Consider the following 26,404-nt stretch of genomic DNA (forward strand, 5'->3'; position numbering starts at 1 on the left):
TTTACATAGGAGAAAGCTCTTTCAAGATCCACAGCAAGAACGTAAAGATTAAAGGTTTATATAGTTAGAAACTACAGGTTAGTTTCAACGTATTTCTATTGAAATACATAATCTGATTTTCCAAGGTAAGTGTGGCTCATTAAGACAAGTGGTAATTTTATAAAACCTGTATTTGGGAGAAGAGGTGCTTAGCTATTTCTCCTAACATCTTTCCTTTATTATAATACCCTGCATTTGATATCAACATACTGATGGTGGCAGTATCTTTTAGAAAAATAAAAGGGTTTGAAGAAAGTAAAAGGAAAAAAAAATTAACTTGGCTATCTTTATTGATGAATTAAAATAGCCATCAAAAAAGTAAAAAGGACAAAACTCTAATGCATTATACAGTCTAATATGTGAAAAAAAAATCAACTTATTTACATACTCTACATCATTGCTCCATCACATTTACTGACTTATGTTTAATAAGTACAAGAACATTGGCTCAAGAAATCCGTCATCTAGAGAGTAAGAAGAATTTCTGGACCGAGAGGAACTCCAAAAATTAAATGTTGTCTATTAAAATTTTTAAAAACATATTTATTTAAAAGTAAGCTGGCCGGGCACGGTGGCTCATGCCTGTAATCCCAGTACTTTGGGAGGCTGAGGCGGGCGGATCACCTGAGGTCGGGAGTTCGAGACCAGCCTGACCAACATGGTGAAATCCCGTCTCTACTAAAATACAAAAAATTAGCCTGGCATGGTGGCGCATACCTGTAGTCCCAGCTACTCGGGAGGCTGAGGCAGGAGAATCACTTGAACCTGGGAAGCAGATGTTGCAGTGAGCCAACATTGCGCCACTGCACTCCAGCCTGGTGACAGAGCAAGACTCCGTCCAAAAAAAAAACAAAAGAGGAAAGAAAAAAAAAAGCAAGCTATGTTGGGGTCCAGGTGCAGTGGCTCATGCCTATCCCAGAACTTTAGGAGGCTGAGGTGGGTGGATCACTTGAGGCCAGGAGTTCAAGACCAGTCTGGCCAATAGGTGAAACCCTGTCTCTACCAAAAATACAAAAATTAGCCAGGCGCGGTAGCACGCACCTGTAATTCCAGCTACTCGGGAGGCTGAGGCACAAGAACTGCTTGATCCCAGGGGGCGGAAGTTGCAGTGGGGTGAGATCGTGCCACTGGATTCCAGCCTGGGTGACGGAGTAAGACTCTGTCTAAAAATATATATAAATAAAAGCAAGCTATGTTAGGATCAGCAATTAGTTGTTGGCTCTAACTTGTAAGTGTCTTATTGCACCCATATTAATGTATCTATATGTCAGATATTAGATTTACATAGTTTGCTATTTCTGTCATGCTGAAAGAATAAAACTGTATTTCCTACCCTTGTGTTTTCTAATCATGCCCAATGTGTGGATCAGAGGTACAGCTATTCTCCTGAGACTACGTACTTCTTGCAGAAACTTACAAAGCACTGTGTTTAAATAAACCATATAGAGTGACCCATTTGAAATCAGGTCCAATTATTAAGCACTTCTGAATTGCTGCCTCGTTCTTTACAATTACATGCTTTCCCCTCTCTGTCTCTAACTTAGGGTAAGGAGCCATTTGGCTTAATCCACTAGAGAAACACCCATGTGTATAACCACACACCACATCTCCCGGTTATGGTATAAACCCATTTCCAGAAGACTTATGTAAAATGTTTATTTCCTCCATTGTGCAAAAGAGATTTTTCCTATGAACTGTGTAAAATATTCAGAGCTTTTACAAGTTGGAATGAATGATAGAATTGTTATACTGCTGATAAATTTTTATTTGGAACACTTGCTTCTAATCATCTATTTACTTTTCAATTTATTACACTAGAATAAACTAAATACAGTCTATTTCTTTTTATTATATGCCTTTAATTCCAGATAATGGAACAGTTCAGAGTATGGATCACCATACCACTGTGAACAACTCAGATAGTACTATAGTAAAGAATCAGACATTTCAAAGCAAATCTCAATTATGTGACACAAAATAGGCATTTAGAGCTTTTTTTCAATAAAAGAATAAATGAGTACAAAGACATTAAGGCCCAATTCATACGTAGAGCTTTTGATATTATAATTTTTGCTTCTAGACAAGGCCACACATGACTGCAACTAACTCCTTTTATGAATTTAACTGTCATAGTATTTGTACAATAAATAAAACTTCATCCTTCAATTCCATATATATATAATTTACTGGCAATATATAAAACCTAGAAGTTTGAGATTAAGACACTTAGTCAACAAAAAAATACCTAACTCAATGGATACTTCTTCATTTATAGTAAGAACCTTAGTTCTCTAGTAGCAAATCCACAAATAGCTGCTCTAACAGAAAACTGGGGAGGAAGAAAGTAAGAGACAAATACTTGCCAAACATTAATCTCTGATATGCCACCCCCTTAAAAAATATTTTTTTGGAGATAGAGAAATTAACTGTGATCATAAACCACTGGTTTTGTATTGTAGAATTTATATATTTGAATATAGTGGCAATTTCAGATCATAAAATTAAATGTAAAAATTAGATAAAATGTAAGATAGAAGTAAATAAAACATAAAAATTAGTGGAGAAAAAGCGGCTGACTTTTAATTAAGAGAAACAAAAAGGTAGCAGAGAGGAAGACATTCCAAAAGAGTAGATAAGACAAAATCTATTATATCTAGCTTTAATGTACTAAGAAACACACTATTATGTGTATGTGTATATAAAATATATAATTATACATGTATAACGGTGTATGTAATCATATTACATAGTTTAGGTGTAAGCCTAACTCATTCTTTTTGATTGACCATGACTGATGACAATTCTACTAAACAATAGAAAGAAAATAGACATTATTTAATCCATGAAGTAGATAATCCATTAATATTTAGAAGTTCCCTGACTTATGAAAACTCCCAACTTAAAGAACTTTTCTGTGCTCAGGAGACTGAGGCAGGAGGATTGCCTGAGCCCAGGAGTTGGAGGCTGCTGTGCACTATGGTTACACCTGTGAATATCCACTGCACTCCAGTCTGGGCAATGTAGGGAGACTGTCTCTAAAAAATATTTAAGAAAAAAAAAACTTTTCTAGGTAGCCTAGAACAAAAGCAAGTCAACTCTGTCCACAATTAATAGATGACATCTAATATTGACTTAATATTACTTTGGACTTGGTGAACAAATGGGTCATAAAACAGCCTCTCTAAAGCTACATGCTAGTTACCAAGCAGGGGAGATTTGACTAAACATTACAACCTGGGGGAAAAAAAGGCACTCATTCTGGCCCTTTTCTTAGAACTCTTACATGTGAATATGTATATTCGTCTCAAGATGAAAAGAGAATACGTATTTCACTAACACTTAATTTCATAAATTTAACTTCACAAGAGTTTTCTAGGCATTAAAACCTGGAAGGTACCTATCTTTTGTTTTTGTTTTTTAAGTTTTACTCAAGTATCTGAACACCCAACACCAAAGGAAATGTCATATAAGACAGAAGAGAAACAATTAAATTGCTCACACTAAGCCTATTATGAATTCATGGGGGTAGTGAGGGAGAGTAAGGGGAACACATAAGAAAAAGCAACACTGTATATAATCCAATATTCAAGTAAATGGCAGGTATCCTTCGATGTTAATCCCCCTCTCTGTCTTCTGACTATGCTTGCATTTCAGTCTGTCAGTCTCTGGCTCTAGTTGAGTTTGTCCTTTGTTCTTTCACTTTCTGACTGTCCTTTTCTATGATTCCATCCTCCTGTTTTCCTCTCCTTCACTTTGCCTCTGGTTTCCACACAGGCATGTGGGAAAACCTCATTCAGTTAAAAGGCACAAATGGGAGCCTTCAAGCATCCAAGTGCTTGTGAAAGTACTTTGAGTGTCCACATTGTCACAGATATTTCATATATTGTATGTGGATGAACACACGGACATAGTGAAACTAAGTGCTTTCTGCATTGTGCAACATACCTAAAAAGAAATAAGCAAACTGAGAAAAACTACTACTAGAGTAAAATGATATAGAAACACTTTATAGTGAATATTACTGTTAAGTATCTCTTATTTTGTCCAGCTGTTGCCACAAAGGATATATAATCAGTTGTGAAGCTATTAATATGGCAATTCTTTAACATCGAAATGAATACACAAAACCACAAGCCTCCCCTTATGTTAATTTTTACCTATTGTTAAGGACTGTTTGAATGAGCAGCATTAAATAGATAGTAATTTCCATAAGCTTCCAATTTTGTCACCAGATGATATAAGAGTGAAATACAGTCCACATTCATATTACTCTGAAGTAAAATTGGCCCTCCATAACCGTGGGTTCCAAACCCATGGGTTCAACCTACCATGGATCAAAAATACTTGGGGGAAAAAATATTCTACAAAGTTCCAAAAAAACAAAACTTTAATTTGCCATGTGCAGAGTACTATGTTCAATCCTGCATAAATGAAGTGATGTGTAAGCGTTGTGTTGGGCATTATAAGGAATCTAGAAATGATTTAAAGTATATGGGAGGATGTGTGTAGGTTACATGCAAATATAGTCATACACTATTAGGCAATTTCCTCACTGTAGGAACTTCATAGCATGTACTTACACAAACCTAGCTTACAAACCCGTACAGTATTTACTGTACTTTATACTGTAGATAATTGTAACACAAAGTATTTACGTATCTGAACAAAGAAAGAGGTATAGTAAAAACACAGTCTTACGATCTTATATGAGACCACTGTCATATATACATTCCATCATTTTTTGTTTATTTTTTGAGACATGGTCTTGCTCTGTTGCCCAGGCTGGAGTGCGGTGGTGCAATCATGGCTCACTGCAGCTTCAACCACGCCAGCTCAAGTGATCCTCCTGCCTCAGCTTCCCAAAGTGCTGGGATTACAGGAGTGAGCCACTGTGCCCAGCTGTGCATTCTGTCACTGACTGAAAAGTTGTTATGCAGCACATGACTGTACTATGCTATTTTATATAAGGGATGTGCACATCTGTGAATTTTGGTATCCGTGGGGGCGTCCTGGAACCAATCCCCCACAGGTATACCCAGGGACAACTGTAACTATCTTCTAGAAATTTGCCTCAAAATATGTGTATGTGAGCAGAATTTCTTTCCTGACTACATCTTGTTAGAGGTAAATATCTTAGCTGATATTACAAATCCACTTTTGGTGTGACAGCCATAACTGCATTTTGACAATTCTTAGAAATGGCCAAAATTACGAGTAACTACTAAATTCCACGTTAAATTACGCAAATTACCTACAATGACTGTCAGGTAAGATATATATTTCTACAAGTCTTTTAAAAATAGAGGAATAAGTGTTCTCTCATTTCCTCTTAAAGGGTACTTACTTGTGAAATGTAGAAATGAGATCAATGAGCATATACATAAAGCTAAGGCACGCAAATGAAGACAAAGGATGCCTTTAAGCTCACTGATCTTTAAAGCAGCACACTAGTATAGCTAAAACATTCAGCCCATTTTACCTGAGATAAAACAAAGTAACTGACTTACTATTACTGTTGCTTTGCAACTTCAGTTTACTTCTTTCTTTGGCACTCCTGCTGAGAACTCCATTGGGTTTCAAATCTTCTTCTATTTCACCTTTTCTCTTTTGCAAATCATTTTGCTTCTTTTTGTAAGTTGGCTTAGGTTGTCTTTTAGTCCTTTGCTCTGACTTGCTTTCACTTTCATCTGAGTCTCCACTTTCAGAGCCAGATTCATAAGTTCTTTTGGCTTTTCTCCTGTTGACTTTATCATCTTTTACATATTTATCAACTATGATCTTACTATCTACACTATTTTGTATATCACTAGATGTAGAGGCTATTAAGTTGACAGAACATGGCTTAATAATTTCTGATACAGAATTCCCTGAATTTTCCATTTTATTAGTATTTTTATCTTCTTCTGAGTGTCTGGTGAGCCAGGCCTTTTTCAGTTTAGTATGGTAGTTTGGTTGACTTGTCTGGGAAGCTTGCCCATTTCCTACAGAGTTTGCTTTGTTAATTGTACTACAGATTACAGTGCTATCCAGAGGAAGGGAGGCTGAAAGTGTCTGATTTTTTATAGCATTAGGTTCAGTCTCACTGGCATTACTACTTTTATACTGAGCTGCAGCCAATGCTGCCTTGTGCTTTTTTAAATGGATAAAATCAGTTGTGCCTGAGAACCCAGAACTGGGTTGAACAACACTTCCTGTCTTACTACTGGCTAATGTAACTGGTGCTGTGGTGCTGACCTTGCATTCTTGTTTTTGAGCCACTGGCTGACTGACACTTTTTGAAGATACACATTCTGATGATGTAGAGGCCAAAATGGTATTTGATAAAGAGGAAATTACTTCTGAACCACCCCAGCTGGAAACACTGGTAGTATCGGCAGCAGATGTGATTACATCCGTTTTGGTATTACACATCGTATTTACAGCAGACATGACTGAACTGGGAACACTGCCCTGTGAGACAGCCTGAAAGTTTTTTTCAGATTTTGTGTGAACACTGTCTGAATTCACATTTGGCAAAATGATTCTTCCAGTTTCTCCGGCTTCTGCTAGTTTGAGGCAATCTGTTTTATGTGCCCCAGCTGAAGATCTTTCACTAACACGATCTTTAGAAGCTAACTGCATTGCTGGCATACTATCAGTTTTTGTACTAGAAGATGGACGCACAATGACAGATGCCATAGCAGCCTGTAACTTTCCGCTGCTTTTCTCCACATGCCATTCAGTTTTCTCTTTGCTGAGGTTATTATTAGGTCTCCACATCTCCGTCAAACTCTGTTCTGAAGAACTCTTAAAATTTGCCTGGGAGTCTTTTGGTTCGGGTATTAGAGTTGGAGGCTTCTGTGATTCTTGAACTTTACCACCAGCATTTACTGGCATCACCGGAGTTAAAGTTGGAGGGGAAAGACTACTATAGCTGCCTTCCTTTCTTTCCAGGCTGTGATGGATTGGTGGGTGAAATACTGGTGCTCTATGTAATGCAGGCATACTGCGGAGTGTATTTGTAGAAGAAACTGTCAAATGGGTAGGACTCCTACAATCATTTCTGAAGGTTGTTACTGAGTGAGATGCAATCTGATGTGGAAGATGTTCTGGTATCTTGCCTACTAAACCTTCACTTTCTGGTTGGTGTTTAATCAAAGGTGGAGGCTTTGAAAGAGATGTTATAAATGAAGTCAGAGTTTGAGGATTAGCTGCTGCCGCTGCAAGGGCATTACTCTGTTTATCACCGTAAATATTTGAAACTTCTTTGGATGGGTATGATCTTGGTGGTTCATTGACCACACTATTAGACAATGTAGTGAAATAGTTACTTTGGGGTAAACTCTGAGGCACTGAGTGCTTCATTTTATAAAGATCTGATACTGAGCGTTCTACATCCATATCTTGTTTGATGATATGGCTTTTAGGACTGGAAGATGATGATGCCACTCTGGAATAATTCTCTCTCTCACCCTCAAGTCCCTTGATTTTAGTTGTAAAGGGAGCAACATCAATACTTTCTTGAAGAATTCGACGGTGTTCCTCTTTGTATTTGTTTAACCTCTCTCCAGTCTCCTGGGGTGGCCTCTGTAACTGATTTAATACTGGATCCACAAAATGCCTATGTAAGTGACAATCTTTTCCAGTCTGTGACCTATTTAGATCCAGGTCATTTTTGGCTGATGTGGATGCAACAGACCGTAATGGTTCCATAAAAGCTTTTCTTTCTAATTCTCTGTAAAGAAAATACACAAATATTTCTGTAACCACTTTTTCCTGCAAAATACAAAGACAGCTTCTATGCAATATCATTCTATTATGAAAGTAAAAGACATCTTTGCATGTACTCTAATACTATAATAAATTTGAAGAAATATCAAAACAGAACAAAGCCTAATCTTAAGATATGTGTTAACTTAAAATTAACTATTTAAAAGGCAAATTAAGAAAAATTATGAACAAGGTATTTATAATTTTTAAGCACTGGTGAACTTACTCCTTATGATGATCTACTAAAGTTTTTGTCAATGGTGGACTGGAATGGGCTGTAATTTTAAGAGGCCGATGAGGCTCTGCACTGGAAGGTCTGACAGGAATGTGACTAAGTAATCCAATACCATCTGCTGAGGTCACAGGGGTGGGCTGATGTAGCCAAGGACTGGGAGAATTCTATTAACAAAACAAAACAAAAAAAACACCTAGATTTCAGTTACTAGAAAAAGCTAAACACCGTGTCACAGTAGAACTGGGTATGATCTTGGTGGTTTATTAGTTCATTCAAATAGCAGTTTCTTTGGGAAACTTGTAACTTTTTCTAAATACATCTTATGAGAAATATTCAGACAAATAATAACATAATTAAACAGATTTTTCCATATCATAATCAGTATTAAATAATTTATTGTCATCTTACTAAAAACAGATCTTGAAATCAGTGCCTTAAATTTACTATAAATGCCATATACAGAACCTAGTTTATATGATTTCCTGATTCTAACAGCAAAAGTATATTGCTAACAGTAAAAACAGAATATTATTCCTAAAACACATTTCATCAGAAATAGAAATTATAACCAAATTCATTTGTCAATTTTTGTCATCAAAAAATTTAACTTTTCCAATGTAACAATTTACTGACAATTGGCAGATAATTACATTTCAAAACCCAAATGCACTCCCCATTTCACTCTAAGCTATAAACAAGGTTGCACCATTAAGCTTGGAGGTGTAGAAGTCTAATAAAGTTAATTTTATACATCAATATGCTGCCTGTCTCATGACTGAATATAAGGTGACAGCAACCTCTTCATCGAGACATACAGCTATCTGACTACATGCTTAAGGATTTTTCTATATTCTGACTCACTGACATCCTTCCAGAACATGTTTTATGAATTTGTTAATAGGATGATAGTCAAATAGCAGGAAAATACAACCTCCTTTGTATTTTCTCTAACAAAGGGAATACGTTTTACTTCTCAAAATAATGCAAAAGCAGTATGTCACACCAAAAATATACTGCTATGAAATTAAAAACATACACTATAGCCATAAACCCCACATAAGAGAAAAATACATAAATATACACATAAGGATCAAATATGTGTCTCAAACGGCCTCAGTTCTATAAGATCCAGAAATCTTAAACAGCAATCAATTATGGCAATGACAACAAAGTTTTGCTCTATAAAATGCCATTCAAAATTATTTCTCAATAATAGTGTCTTATGCTTGTATTGTTTCTTCACTTTTGGTCAATAGTAGGGGGTAAGATATTTTTATTTTTCCTCAAAATGTTATTCAAATTTACTCCTTTATGTTGTAATTTTATATAACAAATAAAAATCTGATACACTTGTTTTTAGTTTAACACATTTATGACCAGTTAATAAAATATTTTATGTACTTATAAACACAGAGGCTAGACAGTCATGGTCTAAGTCCATATACATGTGACACATACTGAGTATTGCTCCCTTCCAAGCCATTTTTAAGTTACTTAAATCTGTTTTCAAGAGTTTGGATGTTAAGGAAAAAGACACAAATCTGTTAGCCAGCTCTTGGCTCTCCTGTGTTCCTCTAGCTAGCTTATCTTTGTGCAGCTGCAGCTACATTAATGACGTGAGAGTGAAGGGTCAGAATAAACATGTGAGTGCAACAATAAAAATAGAAACCTTGAATTAATAATCTGAGTACAGTAGGGCACTTGGGTCACCAGGCCTGCTTTCTATTCTGGTAAAGAGGATAATATAGTGATTAGTGATTCTTCACTGAGTTTGACTATGTAACACACAGGTTCCAGTATGACTCCCATCTACGACAAAAGCAACGGCACCCTCCAAAATGGTAATGGAAAGCTTGTGATCAATGGCAGCATAATTCTGGAACTGAGATCTTGTCAACCTCAAATGTGGTGATGCTGGTGCAGAATCAACTGTGGGCATCACTGGTGAGACTTCATTAAAGGCCAAAGGTCATATGAAAGTAGAGCCAAAAGGAGTCCATGTTTGCAACAGGAATAAACCACAGGAAACATCTTTCAAAACTGGTAGACCTTATGCAAGATGCATCATCAACCACTTGGTGCCTCTTATCATCAAAGTTCACCCATCACATGGTTGGGCATGGTGGCTCATGCCTGTAATCCCAGCACTTTGAGAGGCCGAGACAGGCGGATCACTTGAGGTCAGGAGTTCGAGACCAGCCTGGCCAGCATAGTGAAACCTCGTTTCTACTAAAAATACAAAAAATTAGCCAGGTGTGGTGTTGCACACCTGTAGTCCTAGCTACTTGGGAGGCTGAGGCAGGACAATCACTTGAACCCGGGAGGCAGAGGTTGCAGTGAGCCAAGACTGTATCACTGTACTGTAGCCTGGCAACAGAGGGAGACTCCATCTCAAAAAAAAAAAAAAAAAAGTTTATCTATCACAACTTGGGAATGATAAAAAGACTCATGGCCACAGTCTACCCAAAACATAATGACTCCTCTCACAAACTTTTGGCATGATGAACAGCATGCTTTTATCTACTGGCATCACTAATGTTATATGTAAAAAATATTATCCCTGAGTAAAACAGAAAGTCACTAAAATTGTCTTCTAAATCACCACCCCCAACTGTGATCTCACTTAACTTCAGAAAGCTGTCAAAAAAGATGACATTAAGATGTTAAAAACACCCATGTGAGGCAGAGGTTGCAGTGAGCCGAGATCACGCCACTGTACTCTAGCTTGGGTGACAGAGCAAGACTCTGTCTCAAAAAAAAAAAAAAAAAAAAAAAACCCCACAAAAAAACAAAAAAACCACCCATGTTCACTGTAGCATTATTCACCACAGCCAAGAGGTGAAAGCAACCCAAATGTCCACTGACAGATGAATGGAGAAAGAAAATAGGGCACATACATACAGTGGAATATTATACAGCCTTAAATAAGAAGAAGATCATGTCACATGTTGCAACATGGATGAACCTCAAGAATATTGTAGTAAGCTAAATAAGCCAGTAACAAAAGGATAAATATTCTATCATTCTACTCATAGAAAGTATCTAAAGTCATGAAAACCATAGAAACAGAAGAAAGGTGGTTGCCAAGGGCTGGCAGGGAAGGGGAGTTAGTGTTTAATGGCTATAGTTTCAGTTTTACAAGATGAAAAAGTTCTAGAGACCTGCTGCACAACAATGTGAACACACTTAACACTACTGAACTGTACACTTAAAAATATTTAAGATGGCACATTTAATATTATGTATGTATGTGTTTTTTAACCACAAAAACAAGGTGTTAAAAAGAGATTCTAGGGGATACTTGATGAGCATCCTAGGATGTACGAAGGACAAGGTTGTCTCCTCGGAGTTTAAAAGTGATATCAATTTTTCCATTTTTTATACCGGGGCTAGTATTGCTCTCAATAACCATTTTTTAGTGTAAAAATGAATTTGCTATAGAAACTACATGGCTCATGAATGAACAAGAGCCTTATACCGCTACCTTTAGCAATACTGTGTTAGGCAGACAAAATCTCAGCTGCAGCTTTACCCTCAAATACTGGGAATCTGTAACCTTGAGCACCCTTAAGGGAACAAGGGGGTTAAATAGTCAAACACTGTACTATACCATTAATATACAAACATACATCTGGAGAATATAACAATTTGTTTTTAAGAACAATTTGATAATATATATCAAAAGCCTTACAATTTTATAAAAATTTTAGAAATTTCACTTCTGGGAATTTGGCTGAGCAAAATAATTATGTATAATTTGTATTATATATATTATAATTATTGCATAATTATAATTATGTATAATTTTGTGTAATAATTTTTATACCAAAAATTAGCCGGGCGCGGTGGCTCACACCTGTAATCCCAGCACTTTGGGAGGCCGAGACAGACGGATCACAAGGTCAGGAGTTCAAGACCAGCCTGACCAACATGGTAAAACTCCGTCTCTACTAAAAATACAAAAATCTGCCAGGCATGGTGGCAGGCACCTGTAATCCCAGCTACTCAGGAGGCTGAGGCAGAAGAATTGCTTGAACCTGGGAGGCAGAGGTTGCAGTGACCCAAGATCATGTCACTGCATCTAGCCTAAGCAACAGAATGAGACTCCATCTCAAAAAAAAAAAAAAAGAAAAAGAAAATATACCAAAAATTTAAATCTATAATAAATAAATATTACAATCTAAAAAGTTTTACTTCTTTAAATTAATTCTTTTTATAAGTAGGCTTTTCTGACGTTTCAGCTCCCACTCTTGAGGTTACTAAGTGTATGGAAAAACAACCGAAAAATTCTAACATATTTTATAATAGGAAATGACCTAAAAAATAGATGGAATATTGAAAAAGCACCTGTACATGTTCATTAATATATACTGCTATGTGGCAAACTACAGTGTAACTTACCCTCCTTAATGAAGCTTCAGCATTAACTGCATTTTCTGGGTGAACCCACTTAGAAGAAGGCAAACCAAGTCCTGAGTATGCATGTGTTCCATTTGGATACTGCCAAATAATTGGATAAAGTCCAAGCTGATTATATGAAGCAGAAGGATGGGCTTGTCCAAGAAGATGAGGTGACTGGTGCTGTAACAACTGTTGTTGTTGCTGGTGTGCTAGCGCTAAGTGGCTCAAGCTGCTGGCATGAGCACTCTCTAGTCGTGGGTGGCCACCAAGTAAGGAGGCAGTAGGCACTCCAGGTAACACAGTGGGAAGTAAATGAGGGTGATGAACAGCATGGTGTGGACCACTAGTCAGAGGATGAGTGTTAATGGTAGGTAATGGAGTTTGACTAGATGATCCGGCTAGTAAATGGGGTGCAGGAGTTAAGGCAGGATGATGGGTACCTGGATTTAAACAGGTTCTATGAGATGAGGAGTGAAGAGGAAAAGGATGCTGGCTTAGGAAAGGTGAAATATGATTAGCTCCTGTTTCTGACCCAATAAGTGCAGGATCTCTGTAAACTGTAAAATGCTCATTTTTATCAATGATAAGAGGACTCTTTGTAGTTTCTAATGTACTGCTTCGAGTAGGAATTGGATGAAAACTGCATCTTGATAGCTCATGTTCTATCTTATTTGCCAATCTTCTTTCACCAGTAGCTTGGCTGTTCACATAAGTGGCCTTAGACTTTACAGAATCAGGAGAATGAGTTATTTTGGGTTTAACAACTTCAGGTGATGGGCTGGATTTTATCTTGTGAGTATCTACTGAAGTATTAAGTTTAGATTTTATAGTCTCTGGAGGTGGACTTCGCTTATGCAGCTTATCTTCCATGACAGAAACTGCACTTAAAGGAGAAATGTAAGAGACATACTTCTCTTTTTCCATGTTCAAGTGATCATTTCCTGAAGAAGCATTTGTAACACTTGATTGGGTTAGATCCACTTTAACTACATCACTGACCCAGCTCTGGTCAGAATCTTTTTTTGCTGTTTCCAAGAATTTTGCATTTGCAATAGAGTGTTTTGAATCACTAACATTAGGATCCATTTTCTGAAGTGTCTGAAGGCCAAAGGTACTTGAGTTTTCCTGAGCCACCTTTTCTAAATTAGTGTCATTTGTAATATCAATAACACATTTTGGTGTGGGTGGTCTGGATACAAACTTCTCCTTTGGTAGCAATTCCATGGTATGTGTTTTATCCATATTGCATTCCTGAGGAAGTAAATCATTAGAATTATGATCAGAAACTGTGGACTGTTCTGACGAATGAATAATCATATCTTCTTGAAGCTGAGTGTCAACAGACTTCCGCTTCTCTGCTTCTTCATGTTTTTTATCTTCCTGTATTTGATCCCAGGGAGGCTGGCTATTTTTTAGGGTCTCTTCTCCTGCCTTCTCATTATTATGGGGTTTTCCTTCTTCTCCATTTATTTTTGAAGTATTTTTATTTTTCAATTCATTCTCTGGCTTCTGTTCTGAGGAATTATCTATTATTCTCTTATTTGAATTTTCTGAGTCACTGCTCTCAGAAAAGTCTGAAACATTGTCAGTTCGAAGTCTTTTCATATTTAGTTTCTTTTCATCCTCCTCAGGTTTCCTTCTTTTATTCATCAAGTGTTTGTTTTTACCTTTAGGATTTTCTGTAGGATTAAAGAAAGAAGAGTCTTATTTTTCATACTAAATAAGCATATTTTAAAATGTATTTTTGTTTTATTTGTTTTCATTCCCTTAAAAAAAAAAGTGGGTCCTACCTCCTCGTGATATATAATCATATTTTTCCTCCTTCATCTTCTCTTCATCTGGTATACTGCTATCTGAGCCCTTCCTCTTATTTGGACGGATACTTCTTTGTTGCTGTTGCTGGTGTGTATTCTGTTTTGGTACAGCAGCTTGGGAGTTCATTGCTGGTCTGGGACTATTTGCTTGGGCACGTGTATAATGGCTCTAAAAATAACCAATTAACAGTAATTGTTTACTACCTGGTTTCTACTAGCCTAAGGAAAAATATTTTACAGAAATTCATCCCTAATAACATACATACGTGAACAGCGTTGACGTTTTGATTGGCACGAGACCTGCGTCGTGATGTAATGCCAATATTTTCACCTTTTAACAAAGAGTGAACAACATCATCTAGAAAGGTCATTTGAACCATAGAAGGATCGACATTCTGTGGTTCTAGTACCTAATCCATGATACAAAACAAAAACAAAAATTAAATAGAATGAGCTAATCAAATATTTGGTATAATTTCTTTACTCAGTAGAAATGTTTAGAAATCAGCTTGGGATCCCTAATTTATAAGATGCTGTTATAATAATTTGTTTTATTCACTTAAGACAAAATTACCTTTTTAACCTTCTGAAACTCACCATTTCAACTGCTAACCAAGAATTAAAAAGCAAATATATTTACTGCAAGTACATCTTGAAAAACAAGGGTATTAATCAAGAATACAGATGCCAACAATTCTTAAATTACTTTTTATTTTTAAATAGAAAGTAATTTTCAAAAAGCAGTTGTAAAATAAAACTCAGAGGTAGACTTTAGGGAGTAGAAAAAGACAAAAATTGTGCAAATGAATAATTTTAAAAATGTGGTTAAAACTATTTTAACAATTCAAGGCAGTTTTGTGCTTTTCTGAGAGGTAAAAGTTTGTCACTGTTTTAGGGAAAAAATCAAATGCAATGAAACAGTAACACTTACTTAGCATTTTAACTACATTTTAACCAAAGTATTTGAATTGTGTATAAAGGCGCTCTATCAGATAATCTCCACAATACAATCAGGCAGGAAGGTATAAATATCTATTTTTTCTACATAAACAACAGCTTTAAAAATGAGTATTTTTTGTATTAAGTTAAAAAAAAAATTTGAAATCTCAAGACTTTCAGACTGGTACTTAAAACTCCATAGGAGCCGGGCGCGGTGGCTCACGTCTGTAATCCCAGCACTTTGGGAGGCTGAGGTGGGCAGATCACGAGGTCAGGAAATCGAGACCATCCTGGCTAACATGGCGAAACCCCGTATCTACTAAAAATACAAAAAAATAGCCGGGCGTGGTGGCGGGCGCCTGTAGTCACAGCTACTCGGGAGGCTGAGGCAGGAGAATGGTGTGAACCCAGGTGGTGGAGCTTACAGTGAGCCGAGATCATGCCACTGCACTCCAGCCTGGGCGACAGAGCGAGACTCCAGCTCAAAAAACAAAAAACAAAAAACAAACAAAAACTCCATAGGAAACTTGTAATCCTTAAGATTCACCATAAAACTTAATTGAGCATACCAACACTGACATTTGATGTGAGAAGAAATGTACTGTGTGTTTAAGTTTTCACTGATGAAAAGAAATGATTTCGGAAATATTTTTATTACTGGAGGGACAGAAAAACTGAAACTCTGAGAAAGAAAATTTTAGCTCATCTAAGGATTTAAAAAAGACTAATCAATTAAAAGAGTTTAATGCCTCTATTTTAGGAACTGATTTTATCAGTGTTGAAATAAATTGAGCATTGCTGTCTCCCTATGACCTGAAATGACCTCTATGTAATATCAGATACATTTAAACTTACTAGAATTACACGACTAAAAACCCTAGAGATAAAAATTATTTAGTATCAAATTGTTGATGTATTTTGGGGGGCATGGATGATTTGAACTTTTAAAATCTCTATAAAAATATTAGTGGAACTATTTACCTGATCATTCATAACGATCATGGTGCGGGTGAAGAGATCATGATGAGTAATTATGCCAGTAAACCACTGGGTGGCAGAGTCTTGTCTATATACTCTCACTCTGTATCCATTTAAGGAATAAGGACCTTAAAAAAAACACAAGAAACAGAAACATCTTAAATGGAGACATCTTCATTTAATAACTGCCTTTTAGAAGAAACATGAGCTAGTGTATAATAGTAATATATCCAACTATCAGTTTTCAAAAAAATGTTTTAGAAGTAAATATCCTTTCAAATGAATCATTCTGAAGTTACTATATACACTGCACTAGACCCACATACTTCCTGATTCAATAGAAATAAAATACTTTAAGAGAGAAGGAAGGTTTCTAGGATCACGAGTTAATAAGAGAACAGTTCAAAATGCAAAGTTATAGTAGTGTAGAATGCAGTAAGGTTATGAAGCTACTTAGTAAGATTGCAGTAGATGACTACATGGTTGAAACAGAAAGATTAACTTGCAACTTGATGTTTGTTTGAGTCTTCTAGTTGCCAAAACTTTACCATAAACAACTATAAATTTTGATTTGCTATCACAGCCAGAAAAAGTTGCTAAAAGTCTTAAAAAAGAGATTGGCTAAGTGAATGTATACATATAGCACTAAAAATTTTTAACGAAATATGGTACACTTTTGTGCTAAACTCACTTTTTCAAAGGATATTCTTGTATAGATATCCATTAGAAAATAATAAAAAATATTAAACATATTTATCTGCAGATATTCAGATATGCCTAATAAAACAAGTCACTCTACAGAAGAGGATACTGAGATGAAAACGATCTTTAATTCACAGGTATTAAAATGGTATCAAATACTTTAACAAAGAACTGTAAGGGAAAAAACTGCTGTACCTTAATAATTTACAAAGTGCTTTCAAAATTTTCAAGTGCTTATTTAATTCTCTCTCCTAAGTATTGTTAGCCCTTTTACAAAAATCAAGAAAGTGAGAGGTTGACAGATTAGGTAAAATTTTAAGTCAAAGATCTGGGACTGAATTTATTTTTCTGATATTCCTTCTTCTACAGTTGTAACAGATTCAACAATCCTTTGCCAGCTTTAAATATATATATATAAATCAATGAACTGTAGAAAGTATTCCATATGACCTGTAAATTAAATACTTTCATCTAGAGAAAAGTGAAGATGTTGACTGGCTATAATTTAAGGGAGGTGATGCGTAAACACTGTTTAGTAGCCATATCCATTATATGAACTTCAGTCTTTTCTAACTATTGAAGAATAAGACTCCATATTATTTTTTCTAAATAATATAGGACATGCTTATAGAGTAACTCCAAATATGATCAGTTTTCAATTCCCATTAACAAACAGTTTACACTGGTTTGTTCCCACTACTTAACATAGCTTAGAGTCAGCCTCACACAATTCTGCATAGAATGAATAGGGACTATACTGCCCCTTAATCTTTTCTCCTCTAAGGATACAATGCAGAAACAAAATATTATTTTTTAAAAATTTGCCTGGTTTCTTCAACAAATAAATTGCAAGGAAAGGGAAAAAAAGAGCAACAATGGGGATGTACCAAATAATCACAATGTGTGGACCTTTTCTGAATCCCTTGATTTTTAAAAAATAAATCAAACCTGTTAAAATCTTCGACGTTTATAAGACAAATGAAAACTTGAAATACCTAGTATTTTAAATTTAAAAACAATTACTTTTTTCAGAATAATGTTCCAGCATTGTTTTGTTCAAAAAAATGGATAGAATAGGGTGATGTCTGAAATTTGATAGAAGGGGGTATGGATAGCACAGGATCAGCCAAGATTTGATAGTTGTTGGGGCTGGGAGAGAGGTGAATGAAAGTTCACTGAAATATTCTGTTTTTGTATGTGTTTGAAATTCTCCACAGAAAAGTTTAAAGAATATTTAGCCTAGGAAGAATTAAATATGTAGATGATCCACTACTGTACATACCCATATAAAGCAAACAGCTTTGGGATTCTCTCTTGACACTTAATGGCATGGAAGTTGACGGTTGAGATAGATATGGGAATTTAACAACAAAATTCCATTCACAAAGACATTCAACAACAGTTCATGCCATATTGTCTCACTTTCCATTCAATTTCCAAAAAGCTTGTATTTACAATACATGATTTTACTGACAGAAATGGAAATTGCTAAAAATCGTCAAACCCCACTGGTTTGAAGGTCACACGTTGTAACATACTAAACAAAGGAAACAAAAGACTAGTAATTTCTGAAAAAGGTGCACTGAAATAGGCCACTTTTACCAGATACGAAGAACATTCTTCAAAGGAAATCAATTGTGGCTGTGGGCAACCCTCTACTGCAAACAATGCTTCCTTCTCCAGGAAAGACACACCTAAAGAATTCCATAATATGCAGTTTTCTGTCAACAAAACACCTGTGTAGCTGTAATTTCATGACAGGCATTCAGTTCAAATAAAGTTAATACACTTGTGAAATTATCAACTTTCTATCAAAATTATTATCACTCTGCTATTATTTTCCTGGATGTATATAACTCAAAATATTGGACTGGGCCTTCTATTTATATTGCACACAATTGAATAACCAAAAACAAATATGATAAGTTGCCTAGATCCAAAAAAATTTAATGCATAACTTCAAAATAGTTACCTTGCATAAAAATCTCCTGAACCTTTTGTTCCTTTACCCAGACTTTCACTTCCTCATGAAGCTGCGGGTTGTCCCTGAGAACTGGGTTTAGGCTGTCTATGTCGTCCTAGAATTATAGATTAAAAGAAAGGTCCATGTTACGCTCTCCTACCATTAATGTTACCGACTTTCCCTCCTATACGTTCTAAGGACTGAATAAAATTCCTTTGATCTAAATGTATGCAAAAACACAAATTCATGAGTTATAGTTCATTGGCAATTGTGTAACAAAAGAGCATAAGAAATTAATCTGTGGTAAGATTTGACCTTTGACAACAATGTCCTAAAGTCAAAATTTGAAATTAATGTGTTTTCTAACTTTTAAAGTATAGCCTTATTCAAGTCATCTTTTTAAGGGATTCACTATTGGAAGCAATATACAAATGAAATAACATCAGGTCATTTAAAGGTGTTGGCAAAAGAACTGAGGTGAACATTTGAATGACAATAGATACATACACAGATGACTTACTGACCTTCCCATAATACTTAACCTCTAGACTTTGAAACTACTTTTATTCTGTCCTGATTTAAATGTCATCAAATTCAGTTCTACTCACAGTCATCTGACCAGTAATTTTGCTGCTAAAAATTTTATTTCTTGAAACTAGCGCCAAAGCATCCAGACAATTAAAATTACATTATTGATGGTATTACTCTCATAACAGGCTGGATCTAGACATAGAAACAACCAATTCTCTCTCATTGGAGATGTGAATCATACAGTCACGTGATTTCCCACAATTTGCTGGTCTCCCACTGGACTCTGATATTCTGTTCTCTCTCTCTCTCTCTCAAAGTACCTCTGCTGCTCCTGCATTTGAGATCAGCTGCAGGGACACTAGAGTAGCTGAGAAGAATAACAAACCAGCACTGTCAAATGGCAACTATTTTTAAAGTGGACAGGCAGGGCCGGGCGCGGTGGCTCACGCCTGTAATCCCAGCACTTTGGGAGGCTGAGGTGGGTGGATCACAAGGTCAGGAGATCGAGACCATCCTGGCTAACATGGTGAAACCCCATCTCTACTAAAAATACAAAAAAATATTAGCTGGGTGTGGTGGTGGGAGCCTGTAGTCCCAGCTACTGAGGATGCTGAGGCAGGAGAATGGTGTGAACCGGAAGGTGGCACTTGCAATGGGCCGAGATCACACCACTGCACTCCAGCCTGGGCGACAGTGAGACTCCGTCTTAAAAAAAAAAAAAAAGTGGACAGGCAGATCATGGAAACCCGTGAATAGAAAAGAGCTAAACTAAGTGAACTATATCTGATGAATAAAAAACAATTTGGCAACTTTGAAAAGCCAAAAGGTAGCTGAAGTGTAAAAAATAAAAAAGGACCCCTAATCAAGTAGGTCATACTTCACTCTTCTCCAAAGTCTATCCAGGTAAAGTGTTTCCTTCTCATACTGCTTTTTAAGGCACTACTCTGTATTTTTAGAATAGTATTGTGGTAAATATTCTATCTGATATGTACTTAAACATAGTGAAAGCCAACAGGCCAAAGTAAGGGCCTTTAAATTAATTATGTTCCTTGGAAAATACATAGAAGTACTGCTTTACAGCAGAAGAAAATACCAGAATGAAAAACTGTCATACAAATAAGTAGGCAAAATCTGTCATTTTGGGAGAAAGAAATGGGCATTAACATGTCTTTCTTTACTTTGCAAAGAAACTTTCTAGCAATCTCTTTTCTCTGCACCCCCTCAATAATACAGTACACACTTAGAAAGTCCTATCAGACTCTAACCCCCTTAATGCACACCAGCTGACAGTCTAGTCGATAACAAACAGAACATAGGAAACTTTTTGTTTTTGTTTTTTGAGACGGAGTTTTGCTCTTGTTGCCCAGGCTGGAGTGCAATGGCACGATCTCGGCTTACTGCAACCTCCACCTCCCAGGTTCAAGCAATTCTCCTGTCTCAGCCTCCTGAGTAGCTGGGGTTACAGGAGCATGCCATCATGCCTGGCTAATTTTTGTATTTTTAGTAGAGATGGGGTTTCATCATATTGGTTAGGCTGGTCTCAAACTCCTGACCTCAGGTGATCCACCTGCCTCAACCTCCCAAAGTGTTGGTATTACAGGCGTGAGCCACCACATCTGGCCCATAGAAAACTATTTTACAAGGAAAACCATTACTATTTTCAGATATCTCTGACAGCAAGTTCTTTTAAAATTTTTCTCACTTTAAAACTTCCTTACATAGCACTTCCGCCAGGGAGGTCCCCCATCTGCAGTCATGAGTCATTTCAAGTTTATCGATATTGTTATCAACTTGACTGACACCATGTTCAGAGGAATTTATAGGGGGGTTCAAAAGCATCAAGATGATTTACAGGATGTAACAGGGAGAGCTGTCGAGATTGGTGTTAAAAAGTTTATGATTACAGGTGGAAATCTACAAGACAGTAAAGATGCACTGCATTTGGCACAAACAAATCATATGTTTTTCAGTACAGCTGGATGTCATCCTACAAGATGTGGTAAATTTGAAAAGAATAACCCTGATCTTTACTTAAAGGAGTTGCTAAATCTTGATGAAAACAATAAAGGGAAAGTTGTGGCAGTAGGAGAATGTGGACTTGATTTTGACTGACTGCACTTTTGTCCCAAAGATACTCAACTCAAATACTGTGAAAAACAGTTTGAACTGTCAGAACAAACAAAATTACCAATGTTTCTTCATTGTCGAAACTCACATGCTGAATTTTTGGACATAATTAAAAGAAATAGAGATCGGTGTGTAGAGGGAGTGGTGCATTCATTTGATGGTACCAAAGAAGCAGCAGCTGCTTTGATTGACTTGGATCTTTATATAGGATTTAATGGTTGCTCACTGAAAACTGAAACTAATTTGGAAGTTTTGAAGTCAATTCCTAGTGAAAAATTAATGATTGAGACAGATGCACCTTGGTGTGGAGTCAAAAGTACACATGCTGGATCAAAATATATAAAAACTGCATTTCCTACCAAAAAGAAGTGGGAAAGTGGGCACTGCTTAAAAGACAGAAATGAACCCTGCCATATAATTCAAATATTGGAGATAATGTCAGCAGTGAGAGACGAGGATCCACTGGAATCAGCCAATACACTATATAACAATACTATTAAAGTATTTTTTCCTGGAATATAATTGGTATATGTCTTCCACTTTCCATCATGTATGTAAAATTTCATAGTAAAACTTACCGATAGTTTCAGTAAAGAAATTATCTGCAAAAAAAAAAAACCCAAACAAACAAAAACTTCCATACATAACCATCCATATACCTTTTCCATAATATAGGGAATTATAAACTGTTTTTTCTGTGCTGTTTTTTTTTTTTTTTTTCTGAGACACAGTCTCACTCTCCCAGCCCGTAGTGTACTGGGCACGATCTTGACTCACTGGAATCTTCGCCTCCCAAGTTCAAGCGATTCTCCTGCCTCAGCTTCCTGAGTAGCTGGGATTACAGGCGCATACCACCATGCACAACTAATTTTTGTATTTTTAGTAGAGACGGGGTTTCACCATGTTGACCAGGCTGGTCTCAAACTCCTGGACTCAAGCGATCTGCCCACCTTGGCTTCCCAAAGTGCAGGGATTACAGGCATGAGCCATCACGCCTGGCTATAAACTGTTTTAAAGAAGCATTGCCAACACCGTGCAGACAAGTACACCTTATAAAACCAGTTGACTGTGTTGGAATTTTACAACTTATAACTCATTTATTTATATCTTATTTATTCAACAGGTTAAAATAATGGGCTATAAAACCAGTTGCCTATGTTTAAATTTTATAAGTTATAACTACTAGGATATATAATCTATTTCTTCAACATTTATTTATAAATATTTTTTGTTTTGTTTTGTTTTGAGATGGAGTCTCACTCTGTCGCCCAGGCCGGAGTGCAGTGGTGCAATCTCGGTTCACTGCAACCTCCACCTCCCGGGTTCAAGAGATTCTCCTGCCTCAGCCTCCTGAGTACCTGGGATTACAGGTGCCCACCACCAAGCCCGGCTAATTTTTGTATTTTTAGTAGAGACGGGGTTTCGCCATGTTGGTCAGGCTGGTCTCAAACTCCTGACCTCTTGATCCGCCTGCGTCCGCCTCCCAATGGGATTACAGGCATGAGCCTCCGAGCCCAGCCTTATAAATATTTTTTCAACAGGTTAAAATAATGGGCTCTATTTCCAAGATCATTAAACAATATACAAATATTTTTCCAACAATAAACCATTAATTATCTAGCGGAAATAGCATACCATTAAAAACTGTTAAATTGAGTCCCTTTACTGATAATGACTTTATGTAGGTTCAAACTCTGGTCTCTCAATCTCCTCATCTATAAAGCAGAGTTACTAATATTTCCCTCTTTTTCTATCTTAATAAATGTTTTAATAAGATTTTTTCTTATGTACAAAAATTAGCTTTCTTAAAATATCTAATTCTGATTTATGACATTTGAGTGCTGAATGATGTGAACTACCTGGTTAATTAAAACCCACAAAAAGTATCCCAATGCACTGCCTGATTTATGACAGGCATTGTTGTTGAATTCCTCCCCCTCGTCTACATATAGTACTTTGTAAGTTACAGGGATTTCTGTTACATCATCATTCCCATTTTAAAGAGGATTATTAAAGGTTAAATGAGCAAATCTTGAAACAAAGCCAAATAGGTTTTTTATATATATATTTACTGACTTGAATAATTTTGTAAAGGTGCTAAATGTTAGACAGAAGTCAACAAGGCTGACTTACAGATAAGAGAAATTAAGGGTCTGGAATTAAAAACTAGCTATGAATATCCACTATCTTTCACAGAATTTAAAAGGTCTTCAGCTGTGCCTTGAGCTCGTGTGAGATTAAAAATCCACTTAATGGGCCGGGTGCGATGGCTCACACTTATAATCCCAGCACTTTGGGAGGCCGAGGTGGGTGGATCACGAGGTCAGGAGTTCGAGACCATCCTGGCCAACATGGTGAAACCCCATCTCTACTAAAAATACAAAACCTAGCTGGGTGTGGTGGTGGGCGCCTGTAATCCCAGCTACCAGGGAGGCTGAGGCAGGAGAATCGCTTGAACCCAGGAGGCAGAGGTTGCAGTGAGCCGAGATTGCACCACTGCACTCCAGCCTAGAGACAGAGCGAGACTCTGTCTCGAAAAAAAAAGAAAAAAATCCACTTAATGGCACAGTCTTCACATTTCACACTTTAAAGACAGTAACTATAAGTAGTTACCTATATATAGTTCTTATCTTGAATAACTAATACCTATTAATTTTTCAAAAACAAGTCACCTAAGCTAATTGAAGAGACAGGACCCTCTATGAACCTCTCCTCCTATGTAAACTGTATCCTATTTGAGCTACTAGTTATAACCTCCAGCAAACGACAAATGGAAAAAAATCAGTTCACTAAGCATCTGCTTTATTAGAAATGTATACAGAACACAGAAAAAGTTCAAAAAACATCTTAAATGAGGTTTGGGGGTACATCAGTCACTTGTGTGTTGTTCCTCCTCTTGCAAAGATAGACATGAACTCTAATTGAACATTAGTGAGACACCTTAATGTACTGATACACAAAAATAGCTACCATAAGGCCAGGCGCGGTGGCTCACACCTATAATCCCAGCACTTTGGGAGGCCGAGGCAGGTGGATCACCTGAGATTAGGGGTTCGACCTGGCCAACATGGTGAAACCCCGTCTCTACTAAAAATACAAAAATTAGCCAGGTGTAGTGACACACGCTTGTGAATCCCAGCTACTGGGGAGGCTGAGGCTGGAGAATCACTTGAACCCGGGAGGTAGAGGATGCAGTGAGCTGAGATGGCGCCATTGCACTCCAGCCCGGGCAGCAAGAGCGAGACTGCATCTCCAAAAAAAAAAAAAAAGCTAACCTAAAGGTGCATTTACTATGGCAGACACTATGCTGGGTACTTTCCATACAGTATCAATTGTAACAACTTTGTGAGCTGATATACACAGTATGTTCAGAGAGGTTCATGGTTACAAGCAGGAAGTGACAGAGCTGTTATCTGAACTTAGTTCTGTGACTTCCAGGGCTCAGGTTCTTCTCCCCCACCCCCCCCTTCCCTCCACATACACTCTCTCTCATTAGCACAATCAAAAGAAATGAAAGTTTACTATTATTGCCTTTTAAAATTTGACACATTTCTTTATATGTAAGGGGTAAAAGGCAACATTATCTTATAAACTGAGGCTGACTCAAAAGCAAAGAACAACGGGTGGAAGATACCTTTCTATAAACTTCTAACACTGGTTATGTGACATTCCACATATAGAAATAGTCAAATACTCATCAAAGAGAGGAGACTTAGGGTGGCAAACTCATGCAATCTTATAATCAGAAAGTGTAAAAGAGAAGAAACCTCACTTTGGTGATGTACCTTAGTCATGATCTACAAATACCCAAATGCTGTTTTTTTCTAGGTTAACACTGTGCTGAATGACTGCTTGGATGATCAAAATAAAGGTATTTTTTCACGTGTACAGGAGGGGATAATGGGGCCGGGTGCGGTGGCTCACACCTATAATCCCAGCACTTCAGGAGGCCAAGGTGGGAGGATCCCTTGAGTCCAGGAGTTCGAGACCAGCCTGAGCAACATGGCGAGATGCCATTGCTACAAAAAATTTAAATATCAGCCAGGCATGGTGGGGTGCGCACCTGTAGTCCCAACTACTCGGGAGGCTGAGATGGGAGGATCACTTGAGCCCAGGAATTCAAGGCAGCAATAAGCTATAATCGTGCCACTGTACTTCAGCCTGGGCGACAAAGCACAACCCTGTTTCAAAAAAAAAAAAAAAAAAAAAGAGAGAGAGAAGGACATGATGGAGTAAAAGGCTGAAATCAGGCCGGGTGTGGTGGCTCATGCCTGTAATCCCAGCACTTTGGGAAGCCGAGGTGGGTGGATCACCTGAGGTCATGAGTTCAAGACCAGCCTGACCAACATGGTGAAACCAAACCTCATCTCTACTAAAAAATACAAAAAAAATGTATTTAGGTGTAGTGGTGCGCATCTATAATCCCAGCTACTCGGGAGGCTGAGGCAGGAGAATCCCTTGAACCTGGGAGGCAGAAGTTGCAGTGAGCCTAGATTGTGCCACTGCACTCCAGTCTGGGTGGCAGAGTGAGACTCTCAAAGAAAAGGTTAAAATCAGGCTGGAATGTGTATTTTGACAGTAAGACTACTGTACTAACATAATTTTAGGTGATTATGTACTTTCTACTTAATTCGAAAGAAAAAAATAACCATCTAGGTAATATAAAACATAAGCTCAGAACACTAAAATATTCAGATATGCCTAGTTAGGTTTAATGACACCAGTATTATGAAAATGTTAAAAATATACACAACTCATTTCCTAAGATAATAAGGTAGAGTGCTCCTTGCCAGTTCAAGAAATATATTATTTATGTCACACATAGTCTCATTTGACTGCTGACAAAAAACCAACAAAGGGTGGTTAGTTTCTAAGTGACAGAGAAGACTGGCTTAATAACGTAACAGATTTGCTCAAAAGTCTCAA

At 37.0% G+C, this 26,404-nt stretch overlaps 1 protein-coding gene and 1 pseudogene across 15 annotated transcripts in view, besides 1 other annotated feature; one reads left to right on the plus strand and one right to left on the minus strand.

The window, feature by feature from the left end:
• Positions 1-26,404, minus strand: part of JMJD1C (jumonji domain containing 1C) — a 354,666-nt gene that overhangs the window by 33,824 nt on the left and 294,438 nt on the right. For 10 of the 15 annotated variants that reach the window (XM_017015897.2, NM_001318154.2, XM_047424773.1 and 7 more), the window contains 7 exons: positions 18,830-18,935; positions 16,159-16,283; positions 14,505-14,648; positions 14,215-14,407; positions 12,425-14,103; positions 8,015-8,187; positions 5,547-7,753 (listed from right to left, as the gene is read on the minus strand). In XM_017015897.2, coding sequence (XP_016871386.1) covers positions 5,547-7,753; positions 8,015-8,187; positions 12,425-14,103; positions 14,215-14,407; positions 14,505-14,648; positions 16,159-16,283; positions 18,830-18,836 — 4,528 coding nt within the window. In that variant the 5' untranslated portion in view covers positions 18,837-18,935. Of the gene's footprint in view, positions 1-1,786; positions 3,985-5,546; positions 7,754-8,014; positions 8,188-12,424; positions 14,104-14,214; positions 14,408-14,500; positions 14,649-16,158; positions 16,284-18,829; positions 18,936-26,404 lie in introns of those variants that run through there. The other 5 variants (NR_134512.2, NM_001322258.2, NM_001322254.2 and 2 more) reach the window with 3 other exon arrangements.
• Positions 5,327-5,527: a silencer, noted in NCBI's record as "peak963 fragment used in MPRA reporter construct". NCBI's record gives its function as "represses an SCP1 promoter by STARR-seq MPRAs in K562 erythroleukemia cells {active_cell/tissue: K562}" and the evidence as "EXISTENCE:reporter gene assay evidence [ECO:0000049][PMID:32103011]".
• TATDN1P1 (TatD DNase domain containing 1 pseudogene 1) lies at positions 21,076-22,086 on the plus strand (annotated as a pseudogene).

This window comes from Homo sapiens, chromosome 10 (genome assembly GCF_000001405.40).
Source record: "Homo sapiens chromosome 10, GRCh38.p14 Primary Assembly".
Lineage (NCBI taxonomy): Eukaryota > Metazoa > Chordata > Mammalia > Primates > Hominidae > Homo > Homo sapiens.